This window comes from Homo sapiens, chromosome 2 (assembly GCF_000001405.40).
Source record: "Homo sapiens chromosome 2, GRCh38.p14 Primary Assembly".
Classification (NCBI taxonomy): Eukaryota; Metazoa; Chordata; class Mammalia; order Primates; family Hominidae; genus Homo; species Homo sapiens.
The window spans coordinates 32493035-32519663 of record NC_000002.12 but is presented as its reverse complement, the minus strand read 5'-3'; the positions used below and the strand labels follow the sequence as shown (position 1 = coordinate 32519663).

The 26629-nt window shown below is 37.0% G+C and overlaps 1 protein-coding gene across 50 annotated transcripts in view; it reads right to left on the bottom strand.

Annotated features, from left to right (window-relative positions):
• BIRC6 (baculoviral IAP repeat containing 6) overlaps positions 1 to 26629 on the bottom strand; it is a 261856-nt gene that overhangs the window by 99215 nt on the left and 136012 nt on the right. For 45 of the 50 annotated variants that reach the window (XM_005264451.5, XM_006712054.4, XM_047445160.1 and 42 more), the window contains 13 exons: positions 25997 to 26124; positions 19555 to 20117; positions 17776 to 17951; positions 16773 to 16869; positions 16428 to 16622; positions 14459 to 14659; positions 11405 to 11684; positions 9670 to 9926; positions 9030 to 9138; positions 6510 to 6731; positions 3894 to 4674; positions 1267 to 1410; positions 718 to 847 (listed from right to left, as the gene is read on the bottom strand). In XM_005264451.5, coding sequence (XP_005264508.2) covers positions 718 to 847; positions 1267 to 1410; positions 3894 to 4674; positions 6510 to 6731; positions 9030 to 9138; positions 9670 to 9926; positions 11405 to 11684; positions 14459 to 14659; positions 16428 to 16622; positions 16773 to 16869; positions 17776 to 17951; positions 19555 to 20117; positions 25997 to 26124 — 3283 coding nt within the window. The remainder of the gene's footprint in view (positions 1 to 717; positions 848 to 1266; positions 1411 to 3893; positions 4675 to 6509; positions 6732 to 9029; positions 9139 to 9669; positions 9927 to 11404; positions 11685 to 14458; positions 14660 to 16427; positions 16623 to 16772; positions 16870 to 17775; positions 17952 to 19554; positions 20118 to 25996; positions 26125 to 26629) is intronic. The other 5 variants (XM_006712055.4, XM_047445167.1, XM_017004556.2 and 2 more) reach the window with 1 other exon arrangement.

Genomic DNA, 26629 nt, shown 5'->3' with positions numbered 1-26629 from the left:
CATGCCTGTAATGCCAGCTACTCAGGAGGCTGAGGCAGGAGAATTGCTTGAACATGGGAGGCACAGGTTGTGGTGAGCCAAGATCGTTCCACTGCACTTCAGCCTGGGTGACAGAGTGAGACCCCCCTCTCAAAATTAAATAAATAAATAAAATAAAAAGTTGATATGCCTTTGCCATCAAAAACTGCTTTTTAAAAAACTATCCCATATGTTGTTTAAAGGTATCATCCTATAAAATACAGGCAAGAACCTAGGGGAAAATGTTCTGTCTGCTTTCTTCACTGACTACGATAAACAATGAGGTGACCAGTCAATTCTACCTACTCCATTTATGTCTTGATCACTGATCACCACCTTCAATTTAGTAAATGTGTATTAATTAGAATCTTGCTATTCAACCAAATATCCTGCAATTAATCTAGTATAAAATGACCAGATGGTTTATTGTGAGAACATGCCATCAATTATTTGTCTGTATTTCTAGCTGCCCATTTCTCACTGTGACACAATAAACCAAAAAATTAGGGGTGCCTAAAAGTATTTTACATTTTGTCCACTTGACTGGCTTCTTATGCTTCAAACTATAAAGATGTCTTGAACTTTCCTAGTCATCAATGGTTGCAAAGTGGATGCAGAAAATAAAGTTATAAAAACAATAAACCTCCATATACATCAAACATAAAGTTAAACAAAAACTAATACTTAAATCTGACTTGCCTGACACTCTGTCAAGAACATCTGATAATGTTGTTGAGACTGGCAAATGAAGAGTACGGAATTTGTGGCCTGCTCCATACATTGGATGCTGGATGACGTGGCTAGTAGCATTAATTCTACCTTTGTACAGCTGAAAATCAAGAAATCAAAGAAATCAGGAAGTAACTTTTTGGAATACATATTGTTATAAAATAATCTCAAAAGCATCTAAGAATAAAATACTCAATAAATCCTACAAGATATAATTAATTTAGATATGGCATAGTTGCCATGATTTGTTGGTCAACTTTTGCATTATCACTCTGTACCTTTTTTCATTTTTTTCCACAAATCAAACTATACTTCTCAGGCTAAGGTAAAATTATGTTATTCCTAGGCATGAGGGAGAGCGCTATCCTGAAATTGTCAAGTTCTGTCATTAGGTATAAAGGCTGTGCTAGTTTCACTTTGCTATACTCGAAGTTAGAACATAGGAGGTAACTGCAGGCTCTGATACAAAATTGTAAAATACATGTATACACAGCCAATGATTAAGTGTTAAATACTCACTGGACATGGAGACTGAAGAAACATTGTCACTTTCTCATCTTCCAGCATCAACTGTAAAAATAATCTTCGTATAAACCCTGAAATGTTCCCAGATGTTGGAAGGTTCCCTCTTTGAGGAGATGTCTGAAATAGTTCACAAAGAACCTGGCAAGACAAAATATTTAAAAAGTTAAATGCAAGATTTATATGCAGCTTTTTATTTTGAAAGATAAAAAGGAAACAGAAAATATGAATAAGTTTATTTTAACATATCAAATCAGTAGCTAAAGAACAAATGTCTCTGGGGGTCTAGTAGTTAAGTTTTTTTTTTTTAAGGAGGAAAGAAATGATTTTATCTTAAAATATATGAATACCAAAGGAGATAAAAGTGTAAGAAACGTGTCCAGGGTTAGAAAAAATTAGTACTAAACGGTTTGCACATAATGAATACCTAGCATAACGAACTCCCGTTAACTTTAGTCAATATTGGTGTGGTTATCTTAAAATAAAAATTATGAGAAAAAGCATATTAAAAATATATAACAAGGCCAAGGTCATGCTGATAATCTCAGAACTTTGGGAAACTAAGAGAAGAGATCATTTGAGCCCAGGAATTCCAGACCAGCCTAGGCAACGTGGTGAAACCTGTCTCTACCCACTCCCCCAACCAAAAAAAAATAAGCTGGGCATGGTGGCATGTGCCAGTAGTCCCAGCTACTTGGGAGGCTGAGGCAGGACTTCTTGAGCCCGAAAGTTTCAGTGAGCCACGGCTCACTGATTGTGCAACTGCACTACAGGCCTGGGCAACAGAGAGAGATCCTGCCCCACCTCACCCCCAAAATGTATATAAAGCCTTACTAAGAAACCAAGAGAGAAATCAATGGGACACAAAGAGTTCATGCTACCCAGAAGCACAAACCAAATTTTCAAATACCTAGAATCATGCCCTCGGGTGAAGTTGGTAATTTAAGCATTTCCTTTTAATGCATATTTAGCAGAGATATTTTCCCAGTAATTAATTACTACAGGCAGTTAAATATCTTTCTCTTCTTCCTCTGTTTTGTTTAGGTTTTTGTTGAGACAGGGTCTCGCTCTGTCGCCCAGGATGGAGGGCAGTGGTGTGATCTCAGCTCACTACAGCCTCAACCTCCTAGGCTCAAGTGATCCTCCCACCTCAAGCCTCCTGAGTAGCTGAGACCAAAGGCACGTATCACCATGCCCGGCTAATTTTGGTTATGATTTCTTTTTTTGGTAGACAGGAGGTTTTGCCATGTTGTCAAAACTGGCCTCAAACTTCTAAGCTCAAGTGTTCCACCCGCCTTGGCTTCCCAAAGAGCTGGGATTATAGGTATAAGCCACAGCACCCGACCTGCCCTTCTTCTTAATAAAACTAACTCCTTCAATATTTTATAAAAATTATATTATCTATTTTTCTAGGTACTACTAAAGTTTGACTTGAATGAGCACTATTAAATAACAAGGAGAAAAGTTATTTACTAGTGTCTACCATATCTCATATAGGCTCTATGCTAGGTATGTTACACAAATTAAAATATTTAACTGTCTCAAAAAATCCTTGAGGCAGGTATTGCTAGCCCCATGTTATAAGATTAACCAATATGCCCAAGGTCACGTGAGGTAACCAAAAGCAAAATTTGGCAAAAAGCCAACTAGAATTACTCTTGAAATAATTCTACCTTTCAGGATTTAATTTATTATGATAAATAATAAATTATGATTATCATAATATATGACAATCCACCACACCCAGCTTATTATGATAATCATAATATATGATAAATTATCTTCCACTTTTTTTTTTTTTGAGATGGAGTCTCACTCTGTCACCCAGACTGGAGTGCAGTATGATAAATTATCTTCCACATTTTTTTTTTTTTTTTTTGAGACAGAGTCTCGCTTTGTCGCCCAGGCTGGAGTGCAGTAGTAAGATTTCAGCTCACTGCAACCTCCACCTCTCTGATTCAAGCAATTCCCCTGCCTCAGCCTCCCGAGTAGCTGGGATTCCAGGCACATGCCACCACACTCGGCTAATTTTTTTGTATTTTTAGGAGAGATGGGGTTTCACCATGTTGGCCAGACTGGTCTTGAACTCCTGACCTCAGGCAATCTGCCCGCCTCAGCCTCCCAAAGTGCTGGGATTACAGGCATGAGCCACCACAACCAGCCTATCTTCCACATTTTGTATGTGATTTATGTGGAGTCTCCTATCTGAAACCTAATCTAATGCCCATGTAAAGAGAAGCAAACTATCAGTATGGCAATCTCGTTACACAAAAACACAATGCCTCAAGGCACATACAGTACTCAGTGATCAGTGTCCATACTGTTCCAGCAGCTGAAATGTTTTTTTGGGCTTTTTCTTTTTGTTTGTAGAAATTTTTGAAAATAAGGGTTGTATGATCTAGCTAGCATCCCAATGCATCTGCTAGTCATCTCATCATAAAGAATAAGTGATTCCAGTGACAGCATATTTTGAGGGGGAGAAAGGAGATATCAGTACTTTATAGCTTAAATTCAGATCCTTAAAGGCACTCAACCCTCACTAAATTTATTATTACCTGGCCTTTATACATGGCCCTTTCTTATGTAATAAAACAACTAAAATGTAAGTTATTTTTTTGTCTTACCTGTGCCATCAGCTTTTGATTATTAGGATGGCATGAAATGCACTGTAGAAAGAACGCAACAGTTGCATTCTCAATTGCTGTGCGCTGTTGAGTAGTCAGTCCTGTTGTAGCAGCTGAAGAAAGAGAAGCTGATCTTGCACTGGTCTGTTGTGCACCTAAATTATGGCTTCCAGAAGTGGACCCAGAGTGACACAATAAAAACAGAAGTGCTGTCCATAGTGGATTGACTTCAGAACCACCAAGCCAATCTTTCATAATATGGCTATTGCCAACTTCTGTCAAAAACCTAAGAATAGGAGCAACTAGGTCGGCTGTGATAGGCATCTTATTACATTGTTGTGGGACATGATGGCGCCTGAGTTTGTCCTGGGAAATATCTATTGACTGGGCAATGCTTTCTGAGCTAGAAATGTGGCTAAAGCAGAAACTAGCCAGACTCCTCACAAGAAGAGAAGGCAAACCTGAGTCTAGTAATTGTTTAATAGCTTCAGGAGATTGAGAAGAGGAAGCAAGGGTAGCCAAATGTGATTCAGTTAATGCGAGAGGTGCTTGTGCATTTTTAGAGTCATCTGTTAAAGATGAACTAAGATCCTGCTTTTTGCTATCATCTGTCATGGACAGTCTATGATGACATTGCACTGGAGGAGGGGTAATTCCCATCCAGCCCATGAGCAAAGAAAAATAGTTTGGGTGTACGTGACACATTGAGCAAAGTAGACTGTCAACAGCTTTCTTCAAAACCATATTGCAGGGAAGAGACATGGACCAATTAAAAAGTAACCTAAAAAATAAAAGATATCATATTAATGATACAAGTATATTTTTAGAAGAAACTATTTCAAATATTTCTGTTATAGTTCAAAGTATACTCTGACATTATATACTTTATTTGACATTGAATAATAAAACATTGTAAGATTTAAGACTGCATATATATATATATAGACACACATATATATATTTAAAATTGAAGAATGTAGGTACAATGCAAGTTGAGTTAGACTTGTCAATGAGTACAGAAAATCAAGTAAATTATTTTAAAATGGTTCTATCATTCTGTGTGACCTGAAAAGGTCATGTAGAGAAACAAACAAACAAAAAAATCATGCCAAACAAATGTTTACGTTAAATTCCACATGACAAATGGCTTAAATTCATGTTTGCAAATAAAAAACTACCAGTGAGGCTCAGTAATTAAGTCATGGATTATGCCAATCGCTAAGGCCAAATATGATGACCTACCAGAGAACAATAGGCCTACTTTTTATGTGTTACAGGAACTCTTCAAAAATGTATTCTGCTGCAGACTTAATAGTTAGCTATCAGTAAGTTCAGCAAAGACTTAGCTAAATATGGTGAAGAAATGTGGGTAAATAAAAACTACTTGTCAAAAGGACAATCTAGAAAAGTCTCAAATTTTCTAGCTTTACATTTTTGTTCTTTTTTGAGATGACGTCTTGCTCTGTTGCCCTGGCTGCAGTGCCAGTGGTGCCATCATCATAGGTCAGTGTGGGCTCTAACTCCTGGGTTCAAGTGATCCTCCCACCTCAGCGTCCCAAGTAGTTAGGGATAGAGGAACATGCCACCATGCCTGGCTAATTTTTAATTTTTTTGTAGAGATTTGGTCTCTCTATTTTAGCCAGTCTGGCATTAAACGCCTCGTTTCAAGTGATCCTCCCATCTCAGCTCCCCAAAGTTATTTTTTTTGAGACAGAGTCTCGCTCTGTTGCCCAGGCTGGGGTACAGTGGCGTGAGGCAGCATGGCGAACTTCTGCAGACTCAAACAATTCTTGCGCCTCAGCCTCCCAAGTAGCTGGAACGACAGGTGCATACCACCGTGTCCGGCTGACTTTTTTTTTTTGAGACAGAGTCTTGCTCTTGTCGCCCAGGCTTGAGTTCAATGGTGCAATCTTAGCACACTGCAACCTCCACCTCCCAGGTTCAAGTGATCCTCCTGCCTCAGCCTCCCAAGTAACTGGGATTACAGACACGCGCCACCACGCCGGGCTAGTTTTTCTATTTTTAGTAGAGACGGGGTTTCACCATGTTGGCCAGGCTGGTCTCGAACTCCTGACCTCGTGATCTGCCCACCTCGGCCTCCCAAAGTGCTGGGATTACAGGCATGAGCCACTGTGCCCAGCTTTCTGACTTCTGCATTTTTGTACAGACAACGTTTTGCATGTTGCCCAAGCTGGTCTTGAACTCCTGACTCAAGCGATCTTCCCACCTCGGCCTCCAAAGTGCTGGGATTACAGGTGTGAGCCACCATGCCCACCCCCAAAGTTGTCTAGCTGTACTATCCTGCCAGAGTTGTACATTAAAGATAATCTGGTGGGAAAATTTGCAACTGAGAATAAACACTATGAACCACAGCAACATCTACATTAAGCATAATTTTAGGTTAAAAAAAAGAAGGCAGTACTGCTAACATATCTTCTTAAAACACAAAGATAAATTAATATTTGACAATTCATTTCAAAAGTATACTTGATTATATTTGCTACTTTCAAAATATTATGTTTCTCCTAATAAACATGTAAAATATTTTGTTTTATCAAGTGAACACTAACTGATCTAGTACTGGGGGATAAAAAAGATTTCACAAATCATACTTACTCAAAGAGCTCTTGGTCCAGGAGTGCTGGTAAGTCATATTCTACAAGCAGCTCATAACTATGCCACAGAATGGCTGCTACACAGTGCAAATGAGAAGGAGATGGCATCAGAAGACCATACTCTACTGTTGAGGAGTTAGGACACATGTAGTTCATCCTGCCACTTCTCTTCATAGCAGCCACTCTTGCAGAATCACTAACCCATTTTAACAAGGCCTGAATTCTTAAACGAAGAAAACGAATTCATATAACCAACTATATAGTGCAATTGGCATTTCATATAGATAAATACCATCTCTGCATGGTGAGTAGGGTATTTATGAGAATAATGCACTAATTGTTTTTGATTATTTTAATCTAAAATAGGAAAAAAAGGAAATCTCTCGGCAACAAAGACATACTAGTTCCAGTTCCAATTTTCCAATAACCTTACCAATTTCAACCATCAAAAGGTTTGAGATAACATACTAGAACAGTGATCTGGGACTAATTCTTCATTGTGCAAAGTCTCATGAAATACAGCACGTTTCACATCCCTGGACCCTAGCATTAAATACTAGTAATAGCCACCCACACTCATTCATTCTGACAACAGAATACACTCTCAACACTTACATATTTTTTTTAAGTATAATTTTTATAAGATGGAAATTAAGCTTAATTTATTTTCTCTGCATAGTACTTTTAAAAATACAGGTATCTGTCATTTAGAACTAACATTAATAACAAGATTATAGGTCAACTAACCCCACTAATCCCAATCTCCTGGAGTTGGGAACCAGTAAAACACACCCAATTTTGAACCACAACCTGGGAGCGAAAGACTTTTAGATTTCTCAAGTTCTTAAAACACTGTGTTTACATTTTGTTTATTTTCCTTCAATTTCTATTTCAGAATATAAGATTCTTGGCTTCACACTAAAAGAAACAGGGATAGGAAGGTATATAATACTAATTCTGAAAGATAAGACTTTCAATTTCACATGATGGGGAATAAAGAGAATTCAGAAGACAAGGAAGACATTTTTCTCAGTCTAACAACCTTGTCATTAATGTCAGTTTTATATAACAAACATTCATGTTTTAAAAAGTACTATGCAGAGAAAATGAATTAAGCTTAATTTTCTTCTTATTAAAAAGCCACAACAATATTTAAAAATTAAATAATCCTAACAGATTTCAAGCAACCTGTTCTGGAAAAATATTTAACACTGATATTTTAAATATATTTTAACCACTACTAACGATTATGATTCAAATTTGGCACAAATTGTTATTCACTTCATCAAAAACAATTGCAATCTATGTTTAAATGTAATCCATAATTTTAATAATTTATAAAGATATTAATAAAACATCAAATGACTTCATTTTAAACATAATTAATCAAAATATTAAAAAGTAACATAAATCAGGAAGAAATCTCTCTGTTTTTCTAATATGGATGCTACACATAAAAACAGAGAATGCCAAATATTTGCTCAAAAATTTATCAACAAAAATATGTTTCAAAACTACTTCAAGTTGGCCGGGTGCGGTGGCTCATGCCTGTAATCCCAGCACTTGGGAGGCCTGAGGTGGGCGGATCATGAGGTCAGGAGATTGAGACCATCCTGACTAACACGGTAAAGCCCCGTCTCTACTAAAAATACAAAAAAAAAAAAAAAAAAAAAAAAAAATTAGTCAGTTATAGTGGTGGTCGCCTGTAGACCCAGCTACTCAGGAGGCTGAGGCAGAAGAATGGCATGAACCCAGAAGGTGGAGCTTGCAGTGAGCCAAGATTGCACCACTGCGCTCCAGCCTGGGCAACAGAGCAAGACTCCATCTCAAAACAAAACAAACAAAAATTCAAGTTGGTATCAATTTGGAAGTAGAAGACATCAAGGTAGAATGACATTAGGACAACTCATTAAAATTACCTAAATGTAAAAAAAAAAAAAAAAAAAAAAAAAAAGAAAAGAAAAGAAAAAAATCACTAAATATTTAGCCAATGTGTTCAAATGTCATTTACATGTTATGATATTGTTTCATTCTGTAAACAGCAGGAAAGGGTGCAGAAAGTCATGAAAAGATTTCGATGAATACGATAATCAATAATAAATAAACAGAACCATTATAAAAACAGTTGAAGTACCAACTACAGACACAATATCCCTACATTCATATACACATATAAAGTACTACCTAAGACAGTATGACTCTGATACCATCACTTTACAAGGTTCCTTTCACACGTAGCCAACTTAAAAATATATGTTTTATTCCATTCCTCAAAAGCAGTATTAACAAAGAATTCTATTTAAGTTCAAATTTGCTTAAAGTATGTCCAAACACATACAAATGTATGTCTAATGTTCATGAATACTTGCAGAAGTTACATCGTGTGAGGCATATGGTAAACATACAATATATCACAGTATTGTCTTTTATGAGATCATCTAAGGAAAAACTGTCAGAAACATTTACTATAGCATGATTATGTGCATGTGTGTGCTTAATTAAATGAAAAATAAAATCGTACCTGTCTTTTGTACCAGGATCCTGAGTTGTTCCAAGCTGGTAAAGAATATCTATCGTAGAGTCAGAAGAGAGTCCATTTAGTCTTCCAAAAAGTAAAGGACTATTCAAATCTTGCAACAAAGAATCCAAAGAAAAAGTTTGCTAAATAAGCAAGTTAACCATGGGAAGATTTACTTAATTGAATTAAGTTATTCATTAAAAATGAGGCTTCCATAAATTCCAACAACACAGAACAAACTCTAAAAATAATGAAACTAGGCTGGGTGCAGTGGTTCACACGTGTAATCCCAGCACTCTGGGAGGCCAAGGTGGGTGGATCACCTGAGGTCAGGAGTTCAAAACCAGCCTGATCAATATGGAGAAACCCCATCTCTACTAAAAATACAAAAATTAGCCGGGTGTGGTGGCAGATGCCTGTAATCCCAGCTACTAGGGAGGTGGAGGTTGTAGTGAGCCAAGATTGCGCCACTGCACTCCAGCCTGGGCAACAGAGTGAGACTCCATCAGAGAAGAGAGGAGAGATAAACATAAACTAAAAGAAAAAATAATTCCCAAAACAGAGTTAAGCACGAAGATCGCACAGTTCAACTGCTGTTACTTTACAGATATGTAAACATTTAAATATCAAAGTTAATTATCACCTGTAGGATCACTGCCTGATGCTGCACAATTTCTCAGGAGAATGTCTATGAGCTTCAGGCCAATTCTAGTAGACTGCAGTCCTATCTTTACAAGCACAACCTCGATGTTGGGTGAATGCATTCCACAGTAAGGTGACATCAATAAGGCCGCACAAGTCTGCAGCAGATTAGCAGTAGGTGCAGCTGCACTTGCCATCATTCCTTCTAGATCACTTATGTGAGTAAGGCAATGATGTAATAACCGTAACCATCCAATACTGAAAATACAAAATGACTTGTATGATCAATATAAGTCGCTCAAATCACTTCGGGGTAGAACATAACTTTTTAAAGATCAGCATGTTGTGTTTCATAAACAGCATTAACCAATCTAAGACATGTTTTTTTAGAATGCTGCAAATTAAGTAAACAGACAGTAAGTTTCCCCTATAAGATAAATCATGGCCAGGCACGGTGGCTAACACCTGTAATCTCAGCACTTTGGGAGGCCGAGGCAGGTGGATGACAAGGTCAGGAGTTCGAGACCATCCTGGCCAACTTGGTGAAACCCCTTATCTACTAAAAATACAAAGATTAGTTGGGCATGGTGGTGGGCGCCTGTAATCCCAGCTACTTGGGAAGGTGGGGCAGGAGAATCATTTGAACTCGGGAGGCAGAAGTTGCAGTGAGTCTAGACTGCACCACTGCACTCCATCCTGGGCGACAGGGTGAGACTCTGTCTCAAAACAAACAGAAAGATAAATCACATACAAAAGTACTTGTATTCATAGCACTTAGACACCATGGGTTTGCTTTTTTAGGCAATCATCCAGAAACTTTCTTTTACATGCAATTATATATACTGATAAACTGATTACTATCATAGACTTCTAAAACTGTGTAGTCTTAGCACCTTGAAAATAGAAATCCTAAATTCTTTTTTTTTTTTAAAGACAGAGTTCACTCTCACCCAGGCTGGAGTGCAGTGGTGGAATCGTGGCTCACTGCAACCTCCACCTCCTGGGTCCAAGCGATTCTCCTGCCTCAGCCTCCCAAGCAGCACACCGCCATGCCCGGCTAATTTTTTGTATTTTTAGTAGTGATGGGGTTTCGCCCTGTTAGCTAGGATGGTTTCGATCTCCTGACCTCGTGATCCGCCCGCCTTGGCCTCCCCAAGTGCTGGGATTACAGGTGTGAGCCACTGAGCCAGGCCTTAAATTCATTTTTATCAGGCAGAACTTTCAATAAAATCCATCTATAAAACATCCAGCTGTCAAAATTTATCAGAAAAATGTTGATTAAAAAATATATTTGGGTCCTTGTTAGTTTGGTTCAGACATAATCCTTCTGTTAACTAACATTTAGGAATTACCATATAAGACTAGGTCGCTGTTTCTAAGGTCAGTTGGTATGGTTCAGATGTCATAGGCTGGTCATAGGCATTTGCAAATTCCCGAAACAGAGTATGATACAAAAAATTACAAGCCAGAAAATTACAATGTACACCTACATGTAGCATACAGATCATCTCAAAGACTAAACATATATACACCTTAATTTTAATCAGTGTCAGCATTCTGTTTCCACAAAACTGTCTCTATTACACCTAATAAAATTGTATTATACAGATACCTATGGAACAAAGACCTTCCTAAGACCTAAAAAAGAAAAAACCCACAAAATAATTAAGTCCCCTATCTCCCAACCATGCCAAAAAAAAAAAAAAAAAAAAAAAAAAAGGACAAACAAAACATACCTTGTTTTGGATACCTGATCTTCAGATGGAAGGAATGGATTATTAACTGTTGCAGAAGAGGTGGTACCAAAAGCAGTGAGCCCCAATAATTTAATTTGTGAAAGGCCTAATGTGCTGGCATCCCGTGGACGATGTAGTCTAAGGCAGACAGCAGAAGCTACTTCGGCTTTTACAAGCTGAATTTTTATGTAGGTGAGGCCACTTGTGACAACAGGAGTGGACAAAGGTAGCATATTTACCCCATCTGCACTTACTTCAACAGACACTGAGGAAGGGCAGGCTATAAAAAGAGAAAACTGAATCATCACAAAAGACAAAGTATACTAGATTGAACAGTTTATTAAAATCCCAGTAAAATAGCAGCTTTCACAGTTGTATTCATCATGAACTTGTAAAAGGAAAACTTATACAACAAAATATAGTTTGACAATGACTTTCACCATAATTAATGTTGGAGCTATTTTTCAACACAAAATATTTGATCTACAATAAAAATTATACTTAAACAGTCTAATATTCACCTAAAAAAAGAGGAACCAAAGATGTGTGATGCACATGTACCTGATGCTCCCTATGAATAAAACCAGCCAAATAGGTAATTATGTCATCATTTCTATTTTACTCAAAATTATCACAAATAATACAAAACTACCTTTGATTAATATGCTATGGTTTACTATTTTAAATAATTTGGGGAAAAATGTAATAAAACTTGTTTATCTACCAATTATTCTATTACTACTAGATTGTGATTTTTTTAAACATTGAGTTTAACCTCACAGCTGAGTTTAGAAATTTTTTTTTGTTTGTTTTGTTTTGTTTTCCTGAGATAGAGTCTTGCTCTGTTGCCCAGGCTGGAGTGAGTGCAGTGGCACGATCTTAGCTCACTGCAACCTCCAACTCCCAGGTTCAAGTGATTCTCCTGCCGTAGCCTCCAGAGTAGTTGGAACTACAGGTAGGTGCCACTACATCTAGGTAATTTTTGTACTTTTGGTAGAGACAGGGTTTTGCCATGTTAGCCAGGCTGGTCTTGAACTCCTGTCCTCAAGTGATTCACCTGCCGCAGCCTCCCAAAGTGCTGGGATTACAGGTGTGACCCACTGCGCCCAGCCTCCTTTTCAAATTAAACCAAATATCCACAGGATTTTTTTTAAAAAATCAATTCTTGCTGAAATTTAAGGAGTCCCCAATGAACTACCAGAAAATTATTTATTTCTAGCTTAACATGGAACCCCATCTAATAAATATGTCAACTAAAACTTTTGAAATTTGGTTTTATTTTTAATTTCAGTGGTAAAAAAAGAAGGAATTACATGCCAGCTTTACACTGATTACTAGACAGTCAAGTTAATTTTTAAATTTCTACTTCAAAACCTTTTGAGGAAAGTATTATCTACATTTTACACAAGCAGACATAGCAAAAAGAGATTAAGTAATCCACGCTCCCACAAGAAATGTCACACCTTAGATTCAAGTCCATGTTTGATTCTAAAGACTGTTATTTCCACTGTATCACAACATATTTTCAACTTCTGCTCTAATCCAATAATAAAACCAAATTTTGTAATCAAGTACACTTAAGTAGGGAACACCTAAACCAATTAATTTTTCACAGGGGTTCCCCCTTCATAATATGCTTCCTGTTTCAATTCCCATATGAAAAATCCAGCTGAACTTCAAAAGCCACCACTTATGACCAAACTCCTTTGCTTTCCAAATAAAAGCAATCTCTTTCCAATTTTAGAGGTAGCCTAAGTCTTACATTGACTTATATTTGCCTTTTAATATAGTTATTTTTGACCTCCTAAAACACCGTGTACTAGCATATTTTCCTTCTACCTTTATATTATCTGTTTTTTATCTAAGGAGTGTGGATGCCACAAGTAATTAAGCTATATCAGTCTAATCTTGCAAACACATAGAAAAAAATTGTTTTCTCCAAAGATGCCAGGAATCTACAACATTTCCCACAGCTCCTCATGCAATTATTGAGTGATATTTGATAGCAATGAGAATCAATCAATAAATGTAAGCATGTGTATTAATTTAAACAATTCTGGCAAAATTATAACTATATTGAAAGCATTTGTGAACCATATAAAACACAAAATGGGCTGGGTGCAGTAGTCACACCTGTAATCTCAGCACTTTAGGAGGCCAAGGCAGGTAGATCCCATGAGCCCAGGAGTTTGAAAGTAGCCTAGGCATCATAACAAAACCCCGTCTCTACAAAAAAATACAAAAATTTAGCCAGGCATGGTGGTACATGCCTGTGGTCCCAGCTATACATGAGGCTGAGATGAGAGGATCATTTGAGCCTCAGGGGTCAAGGCTACAGTGATATATCAAAACTGCACTCCAGCCTGGGCAACAGAGTGAGACCCTGCCTCAAAAAAAAAAGCAAATGAGTATTTCATATTCTTTATAAATACTTGAAAGAGTTCACGCTCTTAAGTGATAGTATTTTGTAAAAATTATTTTGAATTATTTGCCTTACAAAGTTCAATAAAATGTATTCAATGAACATGCAACAAACGAATGATACAATATTACAAGGATACTGACATATTACAATAAACACAGTATGAATCTTAAAATCACACTGAAGTAGTCAAAATATAATATTATTCAAAAAGGTAGTTATCTTGTAAAGAAGTTGGAGGGCAGGCACACAAATCTATGCTAATTTCACATTACAAGGCTAGGACTGAGGTCTGGGCTGAAAAAACTAACATGGTAAAAAATGGGTGTGTAGTGAACTCATTTCAGCTTAATACTGAAGCTTAGTAAATTTGAGAGAAAAGAGAAAGCGAAATAATATATAACTGGAACATATTTGTTTAGACTTCATTACATAATCTTTTTGTCTGAGGTTAACAGTCATTTCTCCTAAAATGACTTGGTAGTATTAATTATTTCAATAAAAACTGTTCAGAAGTTACACTCTCTGGTAATCACACCTAAGTGTATTTCCGCTTACTAAACATTTTTATTTTCAAATATTTCTAAATTAAAGCTTGTTCTCATGATGCTTCTTTATAAAATATTACTCACTTGCAAGAGATGCAAGATGAGGCTGGATATGTATCTCCTTAAGCAGCACTGCTGCAGGAAGGTGAATGGTAAGGTCACACCAAGCCTCCTCTGGAAGAAAGATGTAGGACCAAGCAGCAGAGCGAGCTCTTCTGTGAGGAGGTGTGGCCTGCAATAGCACTTCAGCTGGTTGGGCAGTAGGACTGCTAGATGTGATTGTACCTAGAGAAGATATTTTACATAAATTATAAGAACTTGCAAAAGAAACATAATAAAGCTTTAAAATCTATACAAATACAATTAAACTAGAAAAATTAATTGAAAACATGAACAATTGATGCTGGTAATGCACTTAGTATCCTAAGCATGACCGTAAAGGTATTCACAAAACATGAGGAAATCCTGTCAACTGGCAAGGTGACAAGTTCATTATTAACTGCTGTCTACTTTGTACTCATATGATACACGAAAACTAAAGACACAGCAATAAACGTAGCTCAATAATTTTCAAACTTTTTTTAAATTTTTTTTATTATTTATTTATTTATTTATTTATTTTTCAGATGGAGTCTCGCTCTGTCGCCCAGGCTGGAGTGCAGTGGTGAGATCTCAGCTCACTGCAAGCTCCGCCTCCCAGATTCAGGCCATTCTCCTGCCTCAGCCTCCCGAGTAGCTGGGACTACAGGCGCCTGCAACCACGCCCAGCTAATTTTTTGTATTTTTAGTAGAGACGGGGTTTCACCGTGTTAGCCGGGACAGTCTCGATCTCCTGACCTCATGATCCACCCGCCTCGGCCACCCAAAGTGCTGGGATTACAGGCATGAGCCACCGCGCCCAGCCTCAAACTCTTTAAGTAAAAAACAATGTCCAATATATCCTTCACCTTTAAAAAAATCATCTTTATTCTAAGATGTCAATGTCTATGATTTAGAAATATGAAAAGAAAAATTTAAAAGAAACTATGTAAACTAGATAAAAAAGTAAATACCTAAATTCAAAACTTTTAAAAAAGATAGTACTACTTTAAGGCCAGGCACAGTGGCTCATGCCTGTAATCCTAACACTTTGGGAGGCCAAGGTGGGGGATCACTTGGGGCCAGGAGTTCAAGACCAGCCTGGACAACATGGTGAAACCCCATCTCTACTAAACACACACACACACACACACACACACACACACACACACACACAAACACCCCCCCACCCCCCGCCCCAGTGTGGTGAAACACGCCTGCAATCCCAGCTACTCAGGAGGCTGAGGCATGAGAATTGCCTGAACCCGGGAGACACTGTGCCACTGCACTCCAGCCTAGGTGAGAGTGAGACTCTCTCAAAACAAAACACAGCACCACTTTAAGAAGGAAAATGAGATTTAAAATTGATTAACATTTAAAGAGAAAACTTACGGAAGAATCTCTGTTTAGTTTCTTAAATTGTGCTTCTATTTAGACTCACAAATAAAAACAAACTTTACTGCTAAAGAACTGTTAAAACATTCCCTCTCGGCCAGGCATGGTGGCTCATGCCTGTAATCCCAGCACTTTGGGAGGCCGAGGCAGGTGGATCACTGGAGGTCAGGCATTCAAGACCAGCCTGGCCAACATGGTGAAACCCTGTCTCCACTAAAAATACAAAAATTAGCCAGGCGTGGTGGCAGGTGCCTGTAATCCCAGCTACTCGGGAGGCTGAGGCAGGAATCGCTTGAACCCAGGAGGCAGAGGTTGCAGTGAGCTGAGATCACGCCATTGCACTCCTGCTTGGGCAATAAGAGCAAAACTCCGTCTCAAAACAAACAAACAAACAAACAAACAAACAAAGCATTCCCTCTCATAAGTAGAATGTCGAGATATCCACTACCTCTAAAATAAACTGTTTGTAATTAAAATAGTGATATATAACATCATCAACTGACTTCAACTAATTTTGTTTCATACCAGCTAATAAACTAGATAATTTCACATAAGTAAGATTTAGTAACACTTTTCTTACCGAGGGGTGCAAAGTTATGAATCCCTTCAGCATTGTCAGGCTCAGAAGCTAGTATTCTTGTTTTCAATGTGCTGTCAACAGCTTTATTTGGACCAGAGTCAAGAAATTTCATAATAGTTGATACCATACTTCTTGCAGTGTTCACAATAGCCCTTGTACTAGTAACCATATTATTGCATATGAGCTGAACACCACCTAAATTTATAAAGAATATGAAATGAAATCGATCTCAGGACAGATGGTTCAACATCAAAAGTAAACTTCCACAAAAGACTACAAAAATGAAAATGTAACATACTATCACATAACTACACTTAAATGATAGTTATTGAAATATTATCTTACCCATATCATGAAATGCTTTCAAGGCATCACTAGTATCCAATACTCTCAAAATGAACCACAATAATGGCTCAGATAACTGGCAAGTAGCAAGAGAGCCCTAAAAAATGAAATATGCATATTATGACTTTATATATTCCTGTGAATAAGAACTAAACTCAATGCATGTAATATTCCTTCCTAGTTAATTTTTGTAAACTGACAGCCTTAAATACGCTAAATACAAAATGTCTGCCAAAATACATAAGAAATCTTACCTGAATAAAAAAACCATCTCCCTGAACTCAGAGAATTTTTTAAAGCATGTGTCTTCATCCATTATTATCTTTTCTCTTAATATGCATTTAGACACCAATTTCATTTAAAATTTGAACCATTTAAAGTACCTTTGTATTTTCTAATAGAGAAATATACACATTCAACAAATGTTTACAAAAATGATAATTATACACTGCTATATAAAAGACATAAGAAACTGTTCTAATATCTGCATTTCAAAATGGGAAATGGACAAGAAAGTAAAATAATCTGGTTCCTACAATTTCATTTGTAAAAATGAAATACAAAAAGGAAAAATTTTGTAACCTATTTTCTTTAATTAGCCTAATCTCTTTTAATGGAAAAAAAAGAAGCTGAATACACAACATAAATTTCAAAAGATTTCACATTACTTCTTCTTACATAACATCTATGGAGAACACCTCAGTATTACACTATGCTACTTTTAGGAAAAAGAGAAGAACTTCTTGAGACTATATTAAAAAATCTAAAACTCAGGAACACATTAAATGTTTTACTCTTATATCACTGTGGTCATCTCTGAAAATACCACTTCAAAGAAACTTTATTCTCCAACTTTTATTAATAATCCACAGCCCTCTTGTACTGATGCTTTTCATTGTCCGATATATAATAAATATACTTATTTATCTTTGTCCTGTAATTTTCCACTTACATCGCAATAAATTTATTTGAATCACTGCAACTGTTGTTGGCTTGAACTTACTTGTCTGCCCATATATCCACAGGCCATGTATGTTAAAATTGGCTGCAGCATCATGTGGACTGTAGAAGCTTTTTTACTAAGGGTTGTCAGTATGGTAAATAATCCATCCCCAACTGATATGGCATCCAACCCACCATGAAAGTTTTCATGTTTAGTGAGATGTAATCCACTTGCTCCTAAGAAAAATAAAAGATACCACATTAAAAGTATATATATCCAGCCAGGCGCAGTGGCTCATGCCTGTAATCTCAACACTTTGGGAGGCCGAGGCAGGTGGATCACCTGACTTCAGGAGTTCAAAACCAGCCTGGCCAACATGGTGAAACAAATAATAATTAAAATATAGAAGCTGAAAAGTCACTTTTTCCAAAACTGCTGAAGAATGAATATATAATAGCTGTCTAAACCCTCTACACATAACCCGAATGGACTCTTAGAGATTAAAATATCAATGACAATATTCAGTAGAGCACGGTTTATGGCTATCTTCTTACATGACAATACCTCTATATCACCAACAATAAAAATAAGTTGTTCTGTTATATGACTGAGAACATCACTCTACATACATCAAGAAGAGAGGACATGAATAGAAAAATATGTGATACCAGCATGTAACTATTCTTTTTAATCTAATCAAACAGAAGATGTGGCTGTTTCTCACACACTGACAAAGAAAAAAATACCAACAGGCAAAAATATATTAGAAAAGGATTTTGCCACAGTATACAAATGTTCATTTATTTTAAAAATTTAATGTAATGTATTAACATTCCAAGAGGTAAAAGAGTTAAGCAACAGCATATAAATTTAACACTGGTTTGTGTCATAGAAAATGTTACAGTATGAGTAAAATTTTACATTTTATTTTTAAAGCAAATGTGAACAAATAATACTTGTCTTCAACACAAAATGATGTGAAATAAGAGTTCAAGACCAGCCTGGCTAACATGGTGAAATCCCGTCTGTACAAAAAAAAAAATTGGCAGGGCGCAGTGGCTCACACCTGTAATCCTAGCACTTTCGGAGGCTGAGGTGGGCAGATCACCTGAGGTCAGGAGTTCAAGACCAGCTTGCCCAACATGGCATAACCCCATCTCTACTAAATACAAAAAATCAGCCAGGCCTGGTGGCACATGCCTGTAATCCCAGCTACTTGGGAGGCTGAGGCATGAGAATTGCTTGAACCTAGGAGGCGGAGGTTGCAATGAACCGAGATCACACCATTGCACTTCAGCCTGGGCAACAGAGCAAGACTTCATCTCAAAAAAAAAAAAAAAAACAAAAACAAAAACAAAAAACTAGCAGGGGCATGGTGGCACACACGCCTGTAATCCCAGCTACTCGGTAGGCTGAGGCAGGAGTATCACTCGAATCTGGGAGGCGGGGGTTACAGTGAGCCGAGATCGCGCCATTGTACTCCAGCGTGGGAGCAAGACTCTGGCTCGGGGTAAAAAAAAAAAAAAAATTAGCTGGGTGTGGTGGCAGGCACCTATGGTCCCAGCTACTTGGGTGGCTGAGGCACGAGAATTGCTTGAACCTGGGAGGCATCTCAATAAAAAGAAAACAAACCAAACTGACATGACATTTGTCAATATTTCACTTTCATTCATTAATTGAAGCCCCTAAACAGAAGTCCTCACCAATAAAAATCAGTCATGAAAAGCTTAAAGCAGTTTTACACTATAAAGTAAAAAGAAAATGAATCCATATATTGCTTAAAAAAAAACCAGTTATAGTATCAGAGACAATGGTAAGATTAATATTCTCAATACATACCAATTATCATTGCCATGGCACTGCTATTACACAGGCCCAGAGCAGACAAAATCTGGCTCATAATTTGTTGGTTGGCTAAGACTAAGTCAGCAACATATGCAGGCGATCCTTGAACACTGGTACTGCTTCCATTGCCATCTTTGCCTCCTGAGACTTTTTCTTCATCTGAAACACTATCTGTTGTATTTGTGGTCACAGACACTCTTGCACTGTATTCCCTATTGCCTGAAAGAGGCAGCTGCACTAAAATGTTAACAAGTTTTAACAAATCAAACATGAGTTGATCTCTTGTCATTTCGCCACAAACTGCTTTTGCATCACCCGGACGAATAAGATTGGCAAAGAGTCCCCCAAAGCATGCTCGAGCACCCACGGAGCTATCTGATCCACTTCTTGACATTACTTTGTCTGAGCAAGTGATATAGTGGTGCACTAAAAATGTAACCGATTCTATCACGGCAGAAATAGTACTAACTGAAACGACTTCAAAATTCTGCTCCAGAGTGAATTCTAAGAGCTTCACTTGGGCATCGAGAGGTCCTTGGCCTGTCTGGAAAGCACCCCTGCAGAGAGAGAGAGAGAGAGACAGAAAAAGAGAGAGAGAGAGAGATACAACAAGAGAAAGGATTAAAAATTAAACGATTTTAAGTAGTTCTGAAAGTAGTAACTTATCACAATACAAGAAAGTTAAACAAATTCTTGATATTCACTATTTCATTAGGTAGCTAATAGTTTTCATCTCTTTTGGAATTCTTGTTCTTGCCTCCATTTTAGACAAACTCAAAAACAACCTCCCTTCCAAATACAAAACTAAGGGACAAGTATATCCGGAAGTGATTTTGAAGCTACAGACAAAAATACTTCAAAATCACAAGGCACTTCTTATAATGAAATGAGTTCTAATTTTTTCCATTCTCAAATAACGCTATTGTAAACATTTCCTACTGATAATGATACATAAAAATTAAGATTCAATCAAATCATTCTCAAGTATCAAAATTGAATGCTCTTCAAATTCTGTTTATGCCTAAGATATAGAATGCTGAAAAGTCTAACAGCAAGTCAGTCTAACAGCAAGAAAAAGGCAAATTAGGCCAGGTGCAGTGGCTCATGCCTGTAATCCCATCACTTTGGGAGCCCCAGGTGGGCAGATCACTTGTGGCGCCAGGAAGTTCAAGACCGGCCTGGCCAACATGGTGAAACCTCATTGTTACTAAAAATACAAAAATTAGCCAGGCATGATGGCATGTGACTGTTAATTCCAGCTACTCAGGAGACTAAGGCAAAAGAATACTTTTGAGTTTGAGACCAACCTGGCCAACATGGCGAAACCCCATCTCTACTGAAAATACAAAAATTAGCCAGGCATGGTGATGGGCCTGTAATCCCAGCTACTCAGGAGGCTGAAGCATGAGAATTGCATGAACCCAGGAGGAGGAGGTTGCAGTGAGTTGAGATCACACAACTGCACTCTAGCCTGGGTGACAGAGCGAAAGTCTATTTCAAAAAACAAACAAAGACTGTCTAAAGCAAAAAAATAAAAAATAAAAAAAAGGTTGCACAGTATTGTGTTTATAGCATATATAAACAGTAAAAACATGACAACTATGTCACAAAAGACGGAAGAAAGGAACTGAAACTACACTGTTAAGTTCTGACATTATACATGAACGGAATAATATTTTAAAGTGGAATGTGATTAAATAAAGGTATATCTTGTAAAACTAGGACAACTAATATTAAAAATTTTCGGTTATAGGCCGGGCACAGTGGCTCATGCCTGTAATGCCAGTGACACGGGTGGATTGCTTGAGCTCAGGAGTTCGAGACTACCCTGGCCAACCTGGTGAAACTACGCCTACAAAATATACAAAAATTAGCCGTGTGTAGTAGCATAGCAGAAGCCTGTAATCCCAGCTATTCGGCAAGTTAAGGCACGAAAATCACGTGAACCCAGAAGGCGGAGGTTGCAGAGAGCCAAGATCGCACCACTACGCTCCAACCTGTGCGACAGAGCAAACAAACACTGTCTCAAAAATAAATAAGAAATTCAGTTATAAATAAGGATGGAAATGAAATTATTTTAAAAGTTGCTTAATTCAAAAGTCAACAGAAAAAGATTTCTTAAAAGGAATCAAAAATAGATGAAATAAATAGAAAAATAGCAAAATGATCAATTTTAATCCAGCATGTCAATAATTACATTAAATGTATGTAGTCTATATAGTCTATATAGACCAATTCTGACTTTGTCAAATGCTTGTATTAGAAAAGAAAGGTCTAAAATCAATTATCTAAGCCATAAAGATCAAATTAAATTCAAAGAAAGTAGAAAAGAAGAAATAATCTATAAGCTGCCTTTTTTTGAAATAATATTGATGAACTTCTAGCCAGAATGACCCCAAAAAAAGATAAAAATTACCAACATCAGAAATGAAGGAAACTTATAGATCCTATAAACATTAATACATATACATATTTCCACTAACAAATACAACAATGTAAAGGAACAACTTCCTTCACAAAATTACCAAAGCTCAATCAAGAAGAGAAAACCTGAATAGTCCAAGACCTAGAAAATAAGTTGAAAATTTTTGGGGCAAAGAAAACTCTAGCCACAGGATGCTTCAATGGCAAATGCTACCAAATACTTAAGTAAGTGACAATACACATATTACACAACCTCTTTCAGAATAAATTCAGAGAATAAATTCAGCAAGTTATAAAATGGACTGATATGTTATGACCAAGGGTGTCTACCTTGAGAATGCACATTAACTGACACTTAGCAAAAAAAATCAAACTTGGTGTAGTGGCATATGCCGATTGGGCCAGCTAAGAACAGAATGAGACTGAAAGCCTGCTTGAACTCAGGAGTTCAAAGCCAGCCTGGGCAACATAGTGAGATCTCAACTCTTTAGAAAACACCAATATAATTCAACGTATGAACAGATGAAAGAAGAAACAATCTATGTTCATTTCAACAGATGCAGGGAAACATCTAACAAAATCCAGAGACATTCATAATTTTTTTAAGGTCTTAGCAAGTTAGAAACAAACTGGAACTTCCTCAACTTACTATCACATATCTAAAAAAGAGCTCCAGCTAGTAACATATCTAATTATGAAAGACAATGTTTCATAAGATCTTAAGATTGAGAAAAAGAAGGAAGAGTAACTTTTACCATATGTACTCAACAGCATACTTGAAGTCCGAACGAGTACAACTGGATGGGGGGAGGGGAACCCATGAGACATATGCATAAGAAAGGAGGAAATTAAACTAACCGTATTCTCTGACAATATGGCCAAACAAGCAATACATCTGCCCAAACTGATCTACAGAATGATGCAATCTCACTCAAAATGATTTTTTTCTGGAAAATCAATAAGCTGATTGTAAAATTTATAAGGAAAAAGGAATGGAATTAAAACAGCCAAAATAACTCTAAAAATAAAGAACAAAGGTGGAGAGCCTACACTACTAAATTTCAAAAAATACTGTAAGGGAACTAAGACAGTGAGGTAATGCATAAAAAACAGACAAAAACATAAATTCTATATAATACACTGTATGAACAAATGAGGCTGGGTGTGGTGGCTCACGCTTGTAAACCCAGCAATTTGGGAAATGGAGGCAGGTGGATCTCTTGAGGCCAGGAGTTTGAGACCAGCCTGGCCAACATGGCAAAACCCCATCTCTACTGAAAATACAAAAATTAGCCAGGCATGGTGATGGGCCTGTAATCCCAGCTACTCAGGAGGCTGAAGCATGAGAATTGCACGAACCCAGGAGGTGGAGGTTGCAGTGAGTCTGAATCACGCCACAGCACTCCATCCTGGGCGACAGAGCAAAGTTGTCTCAAAAAAAAAAAAGTGTATGAATTAGATCAAAACAAGTATCATTGATTGATATTTGAAAAACTACAAAGGGAATCCAATGAAAAAAGGAAAGTATTTTCAAAAAATGGTCTACGAAGGCGGGGTGCGGTGGCTCATGCCTGTAATCCCAGCACTTTGGCAGGCTGATCACGAGGTCAGGAGATCAAGACCATCCTGGCTAACACGGTGAAACCCCGTCTCTACTAAAACTACAAAAACAAAATTAGCAGGGCGTGATGGCAGGCACCTGTAGTCCCAGCTACTCAGGAGGCTGAGGCGGGAGAATGGCGTGAACCCAGGAGGCGGCGCTTGCAGTGAGCCGAGATCGTACCACTGCACTCCAGCCTGGGTGACAGAGAGAGACTCCGTCTCAAAAAAAGAAACAAAGATATAGGAACAGTTGGACATCCACAGGCAAAAAAAAAAAAAAAAAAAAACTTCATCCTGAAAGCAAAAAATAACAAGCCTAAATATAAAACATAAAATTGTAAAATTTCTAGAAGAAAACATAATATTCTGTGTGACTTTGTGTGAGGAGGGTATTTAAGACTTTGTGTGAGGAGGGTAACAACAACAAAAAATACATAAAAGTTGACAATTTAGATTACATCTAGAATTTTAAAACTTCTGCTTTTTGAAGGCTACTTAATAAAGTGAAAACAGAGTCCAAAGACCAATAGATAGTATTTGCAAAACACTCATCTGATAAAACTGAATGCCTTCTTTATACCGAGTATTTCTTTCAGTGTATATTATTATATCATTAATCTAACTAAAGAGCTGCTGGATCTTTCACAGAATACCAGAGCCTTTATTAAAAACAAACATAAACTAACATTCTTCTTGGGCCACAGCTTTGTGGACCCTCTTAAATAAACTAGGCCACAAAAATGTACAGGGTATATGTGTGGTGAAGTGAGGTGGAGAAAATTCCTAAACAGTTTCTGTGGCGTATAAACCTCAAAATATCTCTGCTTAAATATTAGATGTGACTAAACTACAAACAAGATTAATAATCCTTTAGAAAATGTTAGAGCAAATATATTAAAAGTTTAGTATGAAAATCTTCACTGTTGTGAACTCTGTGGATCGGATTATGCTAAAGCCTGCAGAGTTAAAATTAAAAAGCCTAGTTAAAAGAAAAATAAAACAAATGATGACTAATCTTTATTCCTCACGGGATTTTAATTATGTCATTCAAAATTTCACAAAATCCTCACAAAGTATGTATAAATACTGTTTATTTGAATAAAATTAGATAAAAAAGTGGCAATAGTCACTACTGACTTATTCCTGATCATTAATTTATTTGAGAAAGAGTGTTGTTCTGTCACCCAGGTTGTAGTGCAGTGGCACAATCAGGACTCACTGCAGCCTCCACCTCCTGGGCTCACTGGTTCAATCAATCTCCTGCATCAGGCTCCACAGTAGCTGGGATTACAGGTGTATACCCACACCCTAGCTAATTTCTTTTTCTTTTTCTTTTTTTTTAGAGAAGGGGTCCCGCCATGTGACCCAGGCTACTCTCAAACTCCTGGGCTTAAGCGATCTTCCCGCCTCAGCCTCCCAGGGTGCCGGGATTACAGGCGTGAGCCACTGAGCCCAGCCCTATTCCTTATATTAATGGGGATTTTTTTGAAATACTCAGTTTTATTGTAACTTCAAAAACAAAATAACACTTTATAATTCATTAAAACTTTTCGGCCAGGCACAGTGGCTCACACCTGTAATCCCAGCACTTTGGGAGGCTGAGGCGGGCGGATCACGAGGTCAGGAGATCGAGACCACCCTGGCCAACATAGTGAAACCCCGTCTCTACTAAAAATACAAAAATTAGCTGGGTGTGGTGGTGCGTGCCTGTAATCCCAGCTACTGGGGAGGCTGAGGCATGAGAATCGCTTCAACCCAGGAGGCGGAGGTTGCAGTGAGCCAAGACTGCACCAGTGCACTCCAGCCTGGCGACAGAGCGAGACTCTGTGTCAAAAAAAAAAAAAAGTTTTCATCAGAAAGTAATGTTGGATTTTAAGAAATATAGAATAAAAAAAGACATTAATAAGAGATATATGATATTGAAGCATTCATGCATTATAATAATCAACCCATTATGGTCAAAATTTATTCTTATAACATGGAGTCTGATTTTGTTAATAAATTTATTTAGAATTTCTACACAAGATTAGTATACAATTTTCTTTTATAAGCTCTATTTTTCAGGTTTTCTTACATACAAAATCACTGGTAGCTTTAGAGTTTAAACAGCTTCAAAATAAATTTCACCTTTTAAAAAGCTTATAATAACTAATCTATAAAACCATTAAAAGCAAGTCAACTGTATTCCTTTCATATTAAAGAGAGTAGAGGTATAAGGACTTGAGAAAACCATAATGAAATGAAATGGAAACAATCAGGAAACACACCAATATATCCTTCCCCCTTAATTACTACCGTCCTCCTGCTTATTTGTTCACAGATAAATTCCCAACAAATGTTAAAGAAAAGTATATTTGGAGAATTACATGTTACTTCTATATCAGGAACAAATTAGTACACAAAAATTTACCTTTCAGTTGAAAGTATATGAATTAGCTTGAGCAAAAATTCACTGAATATCTGAGGACATGTTGAAGAAAGATGCACTTGTAATCGAGTAAGAAATTCTTGCATAGCTTGTGTAGCTGTAGGACCAACCTAAAGAGAAATGTATATTCACTGAAAACTGCTTACTGGTAACATGTAAAAAATCATTCATTTAAAAATTATCAAGTAGAAAGTCAAAAGCTATACACTGTAACTTTTCGTACGAGGAAAACAAAAGTATTAACAATGATAGCAGGAAATGAATTTTTTAGGTCTTGATGTATTTATTTTGAATTGCAAATAAAAATACTGTTAATACTTTTTCATTATAGTTTATACACCACAACTATATTAGGTTTATTGAACTCAATACTAAAAAAAGTTCACCTGAATTACACAATAAATACTTTTATAATGCTTTTTAGAGTATAAATAACTTCAACATAGATTTTCACAAATAACCTTCTTAATTACCCCATTTCAAAATCAAATAACTCAGGAGCAGAGAGGTAAAATGATCCATAAAAGGTCATGTTTCTAACAACTAGCAAAGCAAGCATTAAGCTAAGTGAAAAACAAAACAAAAACTAAATAAAAATAAATTTATACCAAGTCA